Here is a 14,246-nt window from a genome sequence, read left to right on the forward strand (position 1 = left end):
TGGCAGCATAGAGGGGGTCTTTGGAAACCACTCAACTATACGCTGTGAGTAGTTTCAAAGGGCATTCGCATTTCTCTGTCCCTTCCAGGCCAGTCCTTGGAGAGATCAGGAAATCCAGAGCTTCCTACAAGAATGGGGATTCCTTGGAAGAGTTTCACCTTGGGACAAAAAAGAGGAATCATGGTGTCAAAGGCAATTGCCCAGGGTCTCAAGAATAGGGGCATGAAGAAGAGTTGGGCTGATGGGTGTGTGGCGGTCCTGGCTACCACCTCGAATGCTACCACTGCCTCTAGACCCTCTCAAGACGGTGACATTTCTTGGTTCCAATACCTAAAATAAGCAAAACTGGGAAGACGTAAACTTCTCCATTCTGTGCCAGACATGTCTTGGAGAAAACCTGTATATCTGAATGACCAAAGAAAAGTATGAGACAAAATGGAAAATCTATTCCAGGCCATACACAGTGTTTTGTTGGTACCCTGGGATCCACATGCATTTCAAGAAGACTGAAGTGTGCCAAGCCTGCAGGACATTGAGGAACATCTGCCAGGCCTGCCTCTTAGTCCTTGAGTATGGCCTGTCCATTCAGGTTCATGATACAGAATTGTCTTTAAAAGATGACTTGGCAAAGTCAGACATCAATGAAGAGTACTATATGCAGAATATAACAGACAGAACACAGCTAGTTGGCCAGCTGGGAGAGTCACATACACCAGTGACGTGCTGTACAAACTGGCACAGACCACACCCTACTACCAAAGGAATAAGCACATTTGCTCCTTCTGGGTGAAAGGAGAGTGTGAGGGAGAAGAAGAGGGCCCACACAGACATGGGAAGCCTACAGATCCAGATGACCCCCTTGCTGATAAGAATATTAAAGACTGATATGGAATCAATGACTCTGGAGCAGATAAGCTTCTAAAGCAGGCTTCACCATGTCTTGTCCAGATCCACCAGAGGACAAGGTTATCACCAGACTCTGTGTTGGTGATCTGGGTGATGCCATTACTGAGACAGATCTAAATAATCATTTCTAGTTATTTGAAGATCTGAGTGATCACTGTTGTGCAGACCAGAAAGTAGTGTGCTTTCGTCCAGGTTTCCACAGGGCAGGCTACAGAAGTGGCTGCAGAGAAATCCTTTAATAAGTTGATTGTCAAGGGCTGCAGACTCCGTAGAAAATGGAGAGGATCCCAAGCAGTCAGAGGAAAAGAAAAAGGACAGAACCGCAGGCTGGGATCCAGCTAACGCCTATTCCAGCACTGCCAGGAACAGGAACTCTTCCTCTTCCTGCAGTAGCAACAGATGTATCTGCCAACCACAGCAACATACACCCACATGCTCCTCCAGCTGTGGTGAGCATTGCCTGGCCACCAGCCCCTGGTGTGTCCTGCTGCTCCCCCCAGGATTTCAGCCACCCATGTTCCATCCAATGGGACCATTGCCTTCCTTTTGAGAGGACTCTAGGATCAATCCATTGTGTTGGATCCTGTGTTGGACTCCAGGATCAATCCATCTCAGGACCCCCAGAGGATGGGAGCTCGTTCTGGAAACCACAGCAGCCCCTGTCACATTTTCACCACCCTCAGGCTCTATGGAAGGAACATCAACTTAAAATCCCAATTAATGAACATTGGAGTAAATATTTTTTTTCTTTATTTATGGTTCCCAGAGCATCTGAATGTGGTCAGATATGGGCAGGAAATGACAGCCATGCTTTTTCATATGGATTCAAAGGATCAATGGAAATCAAATAAGCTTTCATTAAAACATGTTTACTACTATAACATGACTAATAAAACATACTGCCTGTTCCTCTCACCTCTATGGGGGACGAGCAGCTGAGTGAGTTATAGAATGTCCAATGGAGTTAGCATCCAATCATATAATCATTTGTCTCTTTTTATGAGGGTGGAAATTGGCTTGAGAGGAAAAAAAAACCTTTTGAACATGTTTGTGTCCATTGGGTATTTTCCATTTTATTATCTTAAAAGAAAGGGATTGGTATTCCTAATTTTTGTAGTGGTGTGTGTGATTTAACTCTTTTGAAGCCACACCCTCAGAAAAACAGGTAGAGACCAGTCCCCATCACAGCCCAGATATTTTCCTTCCTCTCTTTTTGTCATTTATCACCAAAGAAATCTGTACCCACCAAAAAGAAGGCAAAAATAAAATGTTTTTGTATTTCTATGAGTCAGATGAAAACGTGAACTTCATGGAGCTTTGTATCATGGGATCAGAAATTATTTTCATTTACCCAAAAATTATGGAAACAATTTTCCTTAGGTTTGACGAGTTTCCCTAAGCTCAAAAGCTGAACACAAGCATTTCCTGACATATCCTCAAGAAGAGAAACAGCCTTAAACAGATTTGAAAAACACATTAGTATAGAACCCACACATCCCTCCAGAGTCTATCTCAAGAAGAGCTCCTCGGTCACACCCTAGTCCTCTGCCCCAGGCCCCAAGATGTCCAGGAAGCTCTCCTCATTACCTCAGGGGAAAAAGCTCCCTGGGCATTGGGGCCCTCTGGGGGTCAGTGGCCCAGCCCTGGCAGTGCATCAGGGCCTCCTGGGAGCTTCAGGCCTGCTGATGCCAGGGCCCTAAGCTGGATCATCCTATCAGAATCTCTGGGATGAGACCTCACAGGATGGTAAAACCCTCAGCAGAGAGTTCTAATCTGCACCTGGGTGTGACTCCCAGTTACTGAAGTCTTCGCGTCCCTGTGGCACATTAAGATGAGTAAGGACAGGCCGGGCGCGGTGGCTCATGCCTATAATCCCAGCACTTCGGGAGGCTGAGGCAGGTGGATCACAAGGTCAGGAGTTGGAGACCAGCCTGGCCAACATGGTGAAACCCCATCTCTGCTAAAAATACAAAACTTAGCGGGATGTGGTGGCATGTGCCTGTAGTCCCAGCGACTCAGGAGGCTGAGGCAGGAGAATCGCTTGAACCCAGAAGGCAGAGGTTGCAGTGAGCTGAGGTCGTGCCACTGCACTCCAGCCTGGGTGACAGAGCGAGACTCTGTCTCAAAAAAAACAAGATGAGGAAGCACTAAGGTCACCCCTCTCCTCAGAACAGTGCATGACAAAGATAACCCTCTTCTTCTAGGGATGCAGATCTCAACCCAGGCTGCGTGTGAGAACTGCCCAGGGAGATTTTCACAAACACGATGGTCTCCTCCAATAGAATGTGTTTCTTAGACCTGTTTCTCCACATTTCTTGGGATAAGTTTATCAAAACCATTTTACTTCGCCTTTGTAGATGCCAGTTTGATACATCTTTCTCTTGAACAACTTTTGTCATTAATATATACACATCCCCACCTTATTTTTCACTTTTCTAACTCAGAGAGATATAGAAAAAATAAATCAACCAAAGTGTTTTTCCTTTTTCCTCACTCGACAATCAATACAGAATACTTCTGTGTCTTCTGTCACCAAAATGTATGGAGATTTCTCTGAATCAATAGCCTGGGAGTTGTATAATTCAGTTCTTTTTTCTTTTCTTTTTTTTTTTTTTTTGAGATGGAGTCTCTCTCTGTTGCCCAGGCTGGAGTGCAATGGCACAGTCTCGGCTCACTGCAACCTCTGCCTCCCGGGTTCAAGTGATTCTCCTGTCTCAGTCTCCCGAATAGCTGGGATTACAGGTGCCCGCCACCACGCCTGGCTAATTTTTGTATTTTTAGTAGAGACGGGGTTTCGTGTTGGCCAGGCTGGCCTCGAATTCCTGACCTCAGGTGATCCGCCCACCTCGGCCTCCCAAAGTGCTGAGATTACAGGCGTGAGCCACCACGCCCGACCAAGGTTGCATTGTTTTGTTTCTAATTAGCCTTTCCAAAGGAGGCAACAAGATACACATTTTTCTCAGTGAGCAGAGGGATGACTTTGAATAGAATGGAAGGCAGGTTTGCCCTAAGCAGTTCCCAACTTGACTTTTCCCTTTAGATGAGTGATTTTGGGGTTCCAATATTTATTTACCTTTCACTGATTTAACAGACAGAGAGGAACTGGAAAGAATTCAAAAATGAAGCCAGCAGAATTCTTGCACCACAGAATCAGTGTTGCAGCCTGGGAACAGGCATCCTCTCTCCACATGTAGAAGCAATGCCACTTCTTCACCTGGATGATACAGTCTCTTGACTGTAGATACAATTTCACTGTAACAGACCATTTCTTAGCCCCACCCCAACCTCTGAGGAGGGAGAGAGGCTGAAAGTTATTTTCATATTTTCTACTAAAAATATGAAAATTAGCTGGGCGTGGTGGCAGGCATCTGTAATCCCAGTTACTTGGGTGGCTGAGGCAGGAGAATCGCTTGAACCCGGGAGGTGGAGGTTGCAATGAACTGAGATGGTGCCGTTGCACTCCAGCCTGGGTGACAAGAGCAAGACTTCATCTTAAAAAAAAAAAAAAAGAATGTAACCGTTTGTCATGCCTTTGCTTTGAGTTGTCCTGCCTTTCAGGACTGAACCAATGTTCATCTTACATAGATTGGTTAATATCCCATTTCTCCCTAAAAATGTATAAAACCAAGCTCTGCCCTGACCACCTTGAGCACATGTCATCAGGACCTCCTGAAGCTGTGTCACAGGCATGCATCCTTAACCTTGGCAAAATTAACTTTGTAAATTGACTGAGACCCATCTCAGGTACTTGGGGTTCACAAGTTTCACCACTAGCTCCACAGGCATCCCAGCCCTTCTCCTTTGTCTGTTCTGGCTGCAGCTTCCTCCCTGCCCTCCCCACTCCAGGTCATTTCACATGGGACTTCATCATTCTGATGAGTAGTCTGAAATTATGCTAATGCCATGAGAAATCATTTTCAGTGGGAGTTTGAGGCCATTTTTTTTTTTGAGACAGAATTTCGCTCTTGCTGCCCAGACTGGAGTGCAGTGGTGTGATCTTGGCTCACTGCAACCTCCACTTCCCAGGTTCAAGTAATTCTCCTGCCTCAGCCTCCCGAGTAGCTGGGATTACAGGTGAGCGCCATCACGCCCAACTAATTTTGTATTTTTAGTAGAGACTTGGTTTCACCATGTTGGTGAGGCTGGTCTCGAACTCCTGACCTCAGGTGATCCGCCTGCCTCAGCCTCCCAAAATGCTGGGATTATAGGTATGAGGCCATTTAAAGACATTAAATACAAAATTCTGACCACTTAATTGAGAAAAAAGGAAAGCAATGTTAATGTTATCACCTCAGGCCTGTTAGAACGGTTCTTATCAAAAAGACTAATGATTTCAAGTGTTGGCAAAGATGTGGAGAAAAGAAAACTCTTGTACCCTATTGGTGGGAATGTAAAGTAGTACAGCCATTCTGAAAACGGTATGGACGTTCTTCAAAAAACTAGAAATAAAAGTATCCTGGCCAGGCGCAGTGGCTCACGCGTGTAATCCCAGCACTTTGGGAGGCTGAGGCGGGCAGGTCACGAGGTCAGGAGATCGAGACCATCCTGGCCAACATAGTGAAACCCCATCTCTACTAAAACTACAAAAATTAGCCAGGCATGGTGGCGCATGCCTGTAATCCCAGCTACTTGGGAGACAGAGGCAGAAGAATCCCTTGAACCTGGGAGGCAGAGGTTGCACTGAGTCGAGAATGCGCCACAGCACTCTAGCCTGGTGACAGAGTGAGACTCCATCAAAAAAAAAAAGGTATCCTATGATCTAGCAATTCCACTTTTGTGGTATATATCAAAAAGAATTTAAATTAGTATATTGAAGAGAGATATTTACCCTCATGGTTATTTTGGCATTACTGACAATAATCAAGATATGGAAGCAACCCAAGTGTCCATCAATGGATGAATGAAGAAACTGTGGGCTGAGCATGGTGGCTTATGCCTGTAATCCCACACTTTGGGAAGACAAAGCGGGCAGATGGCTTGAAGTCAGGAGTTCAGGACCAGCCTGGCCAACATGCCCGTCTCTACTAAAAATACAAAAATTGGCTGGGCATGGTGGTGGGGACCTGTAATCCCAGCTACCCAGGAGGTTGAGTCAGAAGAATAGCCTGAACCCAGGAGGAGGAGGTTGCAGTGAGCTGAAATCATGCCATTGCACTCCAGCCTGGGCAACAGAGCAAGAACCTGTCTCAAAAAAAAAAAAAAAAAAAAAAAAAAAAAAAAAAAAAGAAAAAGAAAAAAGAAAGAAAGAATAGAAAAGAAAATGTGGTGTATATATATATTGGAGAACTATTTTTCCATAAAAAAGAGGGAAATTATGTCATCTGTGATATCTTGGATTTAACCAGAGGATATTCTGCTATGTGAAGTAAACCAGGCATAGAAAGACAAATACTATATGATCTCACCTATACGTGGAATCAAAAAGGTTGATCTCACAGAAACAGAGAAAAGAGACTAGAAAGGTGGCAACCAGAGGCTGGGTCAGGGGGACGGGAAGAATACGGAAAAAGAAGATGTTTATGGAAGGATACAAACTTTTATTTAGTCTGGAGGAATAAGTGTGTTCTATTGTACTGCATGGTGAACACAGTTAATAATGAATTGTACATTTAAATCACAATATTCAATTTTTAATATTCTCACAACAAAAAAGATGCTAAATTGGTGAGTGGATGGCTATGTTAATTGGCTCAATTGAATCTTTCCATACTGTATACATATATCAAACATCACATTGTATCTCATAAATATATAATAATTTTTTTTAATTGAAAAGAAAAGGGTGGAACCAAGATGGCCGAATAGGAACAGCTCCAGTCTACAGCTCCCAGCGTGAGTGACACAGAAGACGGGTGATTTCTGCATTTCCAACTGAGGTACTGGGTTCATCTCACTGGGGAGTGTCAGACAGTGGGTGCACTGCACTGAGTGTGCGCCGAAGCAGGGCGAGGCATCGCCTCACCCGGGAAGCGCAAGGGGTCAGGGAATTCCCTTTCCTAGTCAAAGAAAGGGGTGACAGATGGCACCTGGAAAATCGGGTCACTCCCACCCTGATACTGCACTTTTTCCAACAGTCTTAGCAAACGGCACACCAGGAGATTATATCTCCCGCCTGGCTTGGAGGGTCCTATGCCCACGGAGCCTCACTTATTGCTAGCACAGCAGTCTGAGATCAAACTGCAAGGCGGCAGTGAGGCTGGGGGAGGGGCATCCGCCATTGCCGAGGCTTGAGTAGGTAAAGAAAACAGCTGGGAAGCTCGATCTGGGTGGAGCCCACCACAGCTCAAGGAGGCCTTCTTGTCTCTGTAGACTCCACCTCTGGGGGCAGGGCATAGCCAAACAAAAGGCAGCAGAAACCTCTGCAGACTTAAATGCCCCTGTCTGACAGCTTTGAAGAGAGTAGTGGTTCTCCCAGCACGCAGCTTGGATCTGAGAACGGACAGACTGCCTCCTCAAGTGGGTCCCTGACCCCCTAGTAGCCTAACTGGGAGGCACCCCCCAGTAGGGGCAGACTGACACCTCACAAGGCCGGATAATCCTCTGAGACAAAACTTTCAGAGGAACGAATAGGCAGCAACATTTGCTGTTCACCAATATCCGCTGTTCTGCAGCCTCCGCTGCTGATACCCAGGCAAACAGGGTCTGGAGTGGACCTCCAGGAAACTCCAACAGACATGCAGCTGAGGGTCCTGACTGTTAGAAGGAAAACTAACAAACAGGACATCCACACCAAAAACCCATCTGTACATCACCATCGTCAAAGACCAAAGGTAGATAAAACCACAAAGATGGGGAAAAAACAGAGCAGAAAAACTGGAAACTCTAAAAATCAGGGGGCCTCTCCTCTTCCAAAGGAATGCAGCTCCCCACCAGCAATGGAACAAAGCTGGACGGAGAATGACTTTGATGAGAGAAGAAGGCTTCAGATGATCAAACCTGAGCTAAAGGAGGATGTTTGAACCTATGGCAAAGAAGTTAAAAACCTTGAAAAAAATTAGACGAATGGCTGACTAGAATAACCAATGCAGAGAAGTCCTCAAAGGACCTGATGGAGCTGAAAACCATGGCATGAGAACTACGTGATGAATGCACAAGCCTCAGTAGCCAATTCAATCAACTGGAAGAAAGGGTATCAGCGATGGAAGACCAAATGAATGAAATGAAGCGAGAAGAGAAGTTTAGAGAAAAAAGAATAAAAAGAAATGAACAAAGCCTCCAAGAAATATGGGACTATGTGAAAAGACCAAATCTACGTCTGATTGGTGTACCTGAAAGTGAAGGGGAGAACGGAACCAAGTTGGAAAACACTCTGCAGGATATTATCCAGGAGAACTTCCCCAATCTAGCAAGGCAGGCCAACATTCAAATTCAGGAAATATAGAGAATGCCACAAAGATACTCCTCAAGAAGAGCAACTCCAAGACACATAATAGTCAGATTCACCAAAGTTGAAATCAACGAAAAAATGTTAAAGGCAGCCAGAGAGAAAGGTCAGGTTACCCACAAAGGGAAGCCTATCAGACTAACAGCTGATCTCTCAGCAGAAACTCTACAAGCCAGAGGAGAGTGGGGGCCAATATTCAACATTCTTAAAGAAAAGAATTTTCAACCCAGAATTTCATATCCAGCCAAACTAAGCTTCATAAGTGAAGGAGAAATAAAATACTTTACAGACAAGCAAATGCTGAGAGATTTTGTCACCACCAGGCCTGCCCTAAAAGAGCTCCTGAAGGAAGCACTAAACATGGAAAGGAACAACCGGTAGTAGCCACTGCAAAAACATGCCAAATTGTAAAGACCATGGAGGCTAGGAAGAAACTGCATCAACTAACGAGCAATAACTAGCTAACATCATAATGACAGGATCAAATTCACACATAAGAATATTAACCTTCAATGTAAATGGGCTAAATGCTCCAATTAAAAGACACAGACTGGCAAATTGGATAAGGAGTCAAGACCCATCAGTGTGCTGTATTCAGGAAACCCATCTCACGTGCAGAGACACACATAGGCTCAAAATAAAGGGATGGAGGAAGATCTATCAAGCAAACGGAAAACAAAAAAAGGCAGGTGTTGCAATCCTAGTCTCTGATAAAACAGACTTTAAACCAACAAAGATCCAAAGAGACAAAGAAGGCCATTACATAATGGTAAAGGGATCAATTCAACAAAAAGAGCTTACTATCCTAAACATATATGCACCCAATACAGGAGCACCCAGATTCATAAAGCAAGTCCTTAGAGACCTACAAAGAGACTTAGACTCCCACACAATAATAATGGGAGACTTTAACACCCCACTGTCAACATTAGACAGATCAATGAGACAGAAAATTAACAAGGATATCCAGGAATGGAACTCAGCTCTGCACCAAGCAGACCTAATAGACATCTACAGAACTCTCCACCCCAAATCAACAGAATGTACATTCTTTTCAGCACCATACCACACCTATTCCAAAATTGACCACATAGTTGGAAGTAAAGCACTCCTCAGCAAACATAAAAGATCAGAAATGATAACAAACTGTCTCTCAGACCGCAGTGCAATTAAACTAGAACTCAGGATTAAGAAACTCACTCAAAACCGCTCAATTACATGGAAACTGAACAACATGCTCCTGAATGACTACTGGGTACATAACGAAATTAAGGCAGAAATAAAGATGTTCTTTGAAACCAACGAGAACAAAGACACAACATACCAGAATCTCTGGGACAGATTTAAAACAATGTGTAGAGGGAAATTTATAGCACTAAATGCCCACAAGAGAAAGCAGGAAAGATCTAAAATTGACACCCTAACATCACAATTAAAAGAACTAGGGAAGCAAGAGCAAACACATGCAAAAGCTAGCAGAAGGCAAGAAATAAGTAAAATCAGAGCAGAACTGAAGGAAATAGAGACACAAAAAACCCTTCAAAAAATTAATGAATCCAGGAGCTGATTTTTTGAAAGGATCGACAAAATTGAGAGACCGCTAGCAAGACTAATAAAGAAGAAAAGAGAGAAGAATCAAATAGACACAATAAAAAATGATAAAGGGGATATCACCACCGATCGCACAGAAATACAAACTACCATCAGAGAATACTATAAACACATCTACCCAAGTAAACTAGAAAATCTAGAAGAAATGGATAAATTCCTTGACACCTACACCATCCCAAGACTAAACCAGGAAGAAGTTGAATCTCTGAATAGACCAATAACAGGCTCTGAAATTGAGGCAATAATTAATAGCTTACCAACCAAAAAAGTCCAGGAACAGATGGATTCACAGCCGAATTCTACCAGAGGTACAAGGAGGAGCTGGTACCACTCTTTCTGAAACTATTCCAATCAATAGAAAAAGAGGGAATCCTCCCTAACTCATTTTATGAGGCCAGCATCATCCTGATACCAAAGCATGGCAGAGACACAACAAAAAAAGAGAATTTTAGACCAATATCCCTGATGAACATCGATGCAAAAATCCTCAATAAAATACTGGCAAACCGAATCCAGCAGCACATCAAGAAGCTTATCCACCATGATCAAGTGGGCTTTATCCCTGGGATGCAAGTCTGGTTCAACATATCCAAATCAATAAATGTAATCCAGCATATAAACAGAACCAAAGACAAAAACCACATGATTATCTCAACAGGTGCAGAAAAGGCCTTTGACAAAATTCCACAACGCTTCATGCTAAAAATTCTCAATAAATTAGGTACTGATGGGACATATCTCCAAATAATAGGAGCTGTCTGTGACAAACCCACAGCCAATATCATACTGAAGGGGCAAAAACTGGAAGCATTCCCTTTGAAAACTGGCACAAGACAGGGATGCCCTCTCTCACCACTCCTATTCAACATAGTGGCCAGGGCAATCAGGCAGGAGAAGGAAATAAAGGGTATTCAATTAGGAAAAGAGGAAGTCAAATTGTGCCTGTTTGCAGACGACATGATTGTATATCTAGAAAACCCCATCATCTCAGCCCAAAATCTCCTTAAGCTGATAGGCAACTTCAGCAAAGTCTCGGGATATGAAATCAATGAGCAAAAATCACAGGCATTCTTATACACCAATAACAGACAGAGAGCCAAATCATGAGTGAACTCCCATTCACAATTGCTTCAAAGGGAATGAAATACCTAGGAATCCAACTTACAACGGATGTGAAGGACCTCTTCGAGGAGAACTACAAACCACTGCTCAATGAAATAAAAAAGGATACAAACAAATGGAAGAACATTCCATGCTCATGGGTAGGAAGAATCAATGTCGTGAAAATGGCCATAGTGCCCAAGGTAATTTGTAGATTCAATGCCATCCCCATCAAGCTACCAATGACTTTCTTCACAGAATTGGAAAAAACTACTGTAAAGTTCACATGGAACCAAAAAAGAGCTCGCATTGCCAAGTCAATCCTAAACCAAAAGAACAAAGCTGGAGGCATCAAGCTACCTGACTTCAAACTATACTTACTACAAGCCTACAGTAACCAAAACAGCATGGTACTGGTACCAAAACAGAGATATAGACCAATGGAACAGAACAGAGCCCTCAGAAATAATGCCGCATATCTACAACTATCTGATCTTTGACAAACCTGAGAAAAAAAAGCAATGGGGAAAGGATTCCCTATTTAATAAATGGTGCTGGGAAAACTGGCTAACCGTATGTAGATAGTTGAAACTGGATCCCTTCCTTACACCTTATACAAAAATTAATTCAAGAAGGATTAAAAACTTAAATGTTAGACCTAAAACCATAAAAACCCTAGAAGAAAACCTAGGCAATACCATTCAGGACATAGGCATGGGCGAGGACTTCATGTCTAAAACACCAAAAGCAATGGCAACAAAAGCCAAAATTGATAAATGGGATCTAATTAAACTAAAGAGCTTCTGCACAGCAAAAGAAACTACCATCAGAGTGAGCAGGCAACCTACGGAATGGGAGAAAATTTTTGCAACCTACTCATCTGACCAAGGACTAATATCCAGAATCTACAATGAACTCAAACAAATTTACAAGAAAAAAAAAAACCCCATCGAAAAGTGGGCGAAGGACATGAACAGACACTTCTCAAAAGAAGACATTTATGCAGCCAAAAGACACATGAAAAGATGCTCATCATCACTGGCCATCAGAGAAATGCAAATCAAAACCACAATGAGATACCATCTCACACCAGTTAGAATGGCAATCATTAAAAAGTCAGGAAACAACAGGTGCTGGAGAGGATGTGGAGAAATAGGAACACTTTTACACTGTTGGTGGGACTGTAAACTAGTTCAACCATTGTGGAAGTCAGTGTGGCGATTCCTCAGGGATCTAGAACTAGAAATACCATTTGACCCAGCTATCCCATTACTGGGTATATACCCAAAGGATTATAAATCATGCTGCTATAAAGACACATGCACACGTATGTTTATTGGGGCACTATTCACAATAGCAAAGACTTGGAACCAACCCAAATGTCCAACAATGATAGACTGGATTAAGAAAATGTGGCACATATACACCATAAAATACTATGCAGCCATAAAAAAGGATGAGTTCATGTCCTTTGTAGGGACATGGATGAAGCTGGAAACCATCATTCTCAGCAAACTATCACAAGGATAAAAAACCAAACACCGCATATTCTCACTCATAGATGGGAATCGAACAATGAGAACACATGGACACAAGAAGGGGAACATCACACACCAGGGCCTGTTGTGGGGTGGGGGGAGGGGGACGGATAGCATTAGGAGATATACCTAAAGCTAAAAGACGAGTTAATGGGTGCAGCACACCAGCATGGCGCATGTATACATATGTAACAAACCTGTACGTTGTGCACATGTACCCTAAAACTTAAAGTATGATTAAAAAAAAAAGAAAAGACAGCCTGTTCTGTCTAGTGATATTTATCTTTGATCTTCAGCCGCCACCTGGTGATCACCTTCAGAGTGGGGGAGAAAACAGCGGGGTGAGAAGCTATCACTTTGCCTCTGGAGCCCAAATGAGGACTTAGCTCCTGGCTGTGGGTGGGAATGTATTCTTTCACAGAATTCTCCCAAATTAGGGCCTCGCCCTCTAGAAAATCCCTGGCTTCCCCACCATGTTCCCCACCCACTGCACTTGGTCTGCTGGGTGGCTGCTCTCAAAGGAGCTGACACTGAAACCTGAGGTTGAAGAGCCACCTACTAGGTGGGAGGATTCTGGGTTCCATAGAGTAGTACTTTTTAAAAAAACTCAGAGCATTTTCTTTAGTTCAAGCAGGAAGCGTTTCTGGTACTCAGGGGCAAACACACCACAGCACACACATGCACACACCTTACACATACACAAACACCATATACACACATTACACATACACAAACACCATACACACCACACACACACACACACCCCCACACACACCCCCCACACAAACCACACACCACACACACCCCACACACACACCACACACATATGCACACAAACGCACCACAGATCACACACATATGCACACATACACACACACCACATACACACACACCACACATGCATGCACAAACACACGTACGCCACACACACACACACACCCACACACACCACACACACATACACACACACCACACACGTATGTGCACACAGACGCACAGACACTACACACTGAAAAACACCACACACCTCACGCCTGTAATCCCAGCACTTTGGGAGGCCGAGGAGGGTGGATCACGAGGTCAGGAGTTCAAGACCAGACTGGCCAACATGGTAAAACCCCATCTCTATTAAAAATAAAAAATTAGCTGGGTGTGGTGGTGGATGCCTATAATCCCAGCTACTCGGGAGGCTGAGGCAGGAGAATCGTTTGAGCCCGGGAGTCAGAGGTTGCAGTGAGCCAGTATCGTGCCATTGCACTCTAACCTGGGTGACAGGGCTAGACTCTGTCACACACACAAAAAAAAAACACACACACGCCCCACATACACACACACCACACACACGTATACCACACACGACATACATATACTACACATATATTACATACTTATACTACACACACATGCACACAGCACACACATGCATGCACAAAACATGCATACCACATACACCACAGTACACATGCACACCACACACACTACACAGATACACAACAAACACACTACACACACCACATGCGCATGCATGCACACCACACACAGCACACGTACACACACAGCACACAACCCTACACTACACACACACCACACATGCAGACACACCACAAACAGCACACACACCAGAGTATACACATCACCTGCACCACACAAACAACACACACACTATATACACACTACACACACATGCATGCACACACTACACACAC

The 14,246-nt window shown here is 43.8% G+C and overlaps 1 pseudogene; it reads left to right on the plus strand.

The window, feature by feature from the left end:
- Positions 236 to 1,477, plus strand: RBM22P12 (RNA binding motif protein 22 pseudogene 12; annotated as a pseudogene).

The sequence above is a fragment of the Homo sapiens genome, chromosome 16 (genome assembly GCF_000001405.40).
Source record: "Homo sapiens chromosome 16, GRCh38.p14 Primary Assembly".
Taxonomy (NCBI): domain Eukaryota; kingdom Metazoa; phylum Chordata; class Mammalia; order Primates; family Hominidae; genus Homo; species Homo sapiens.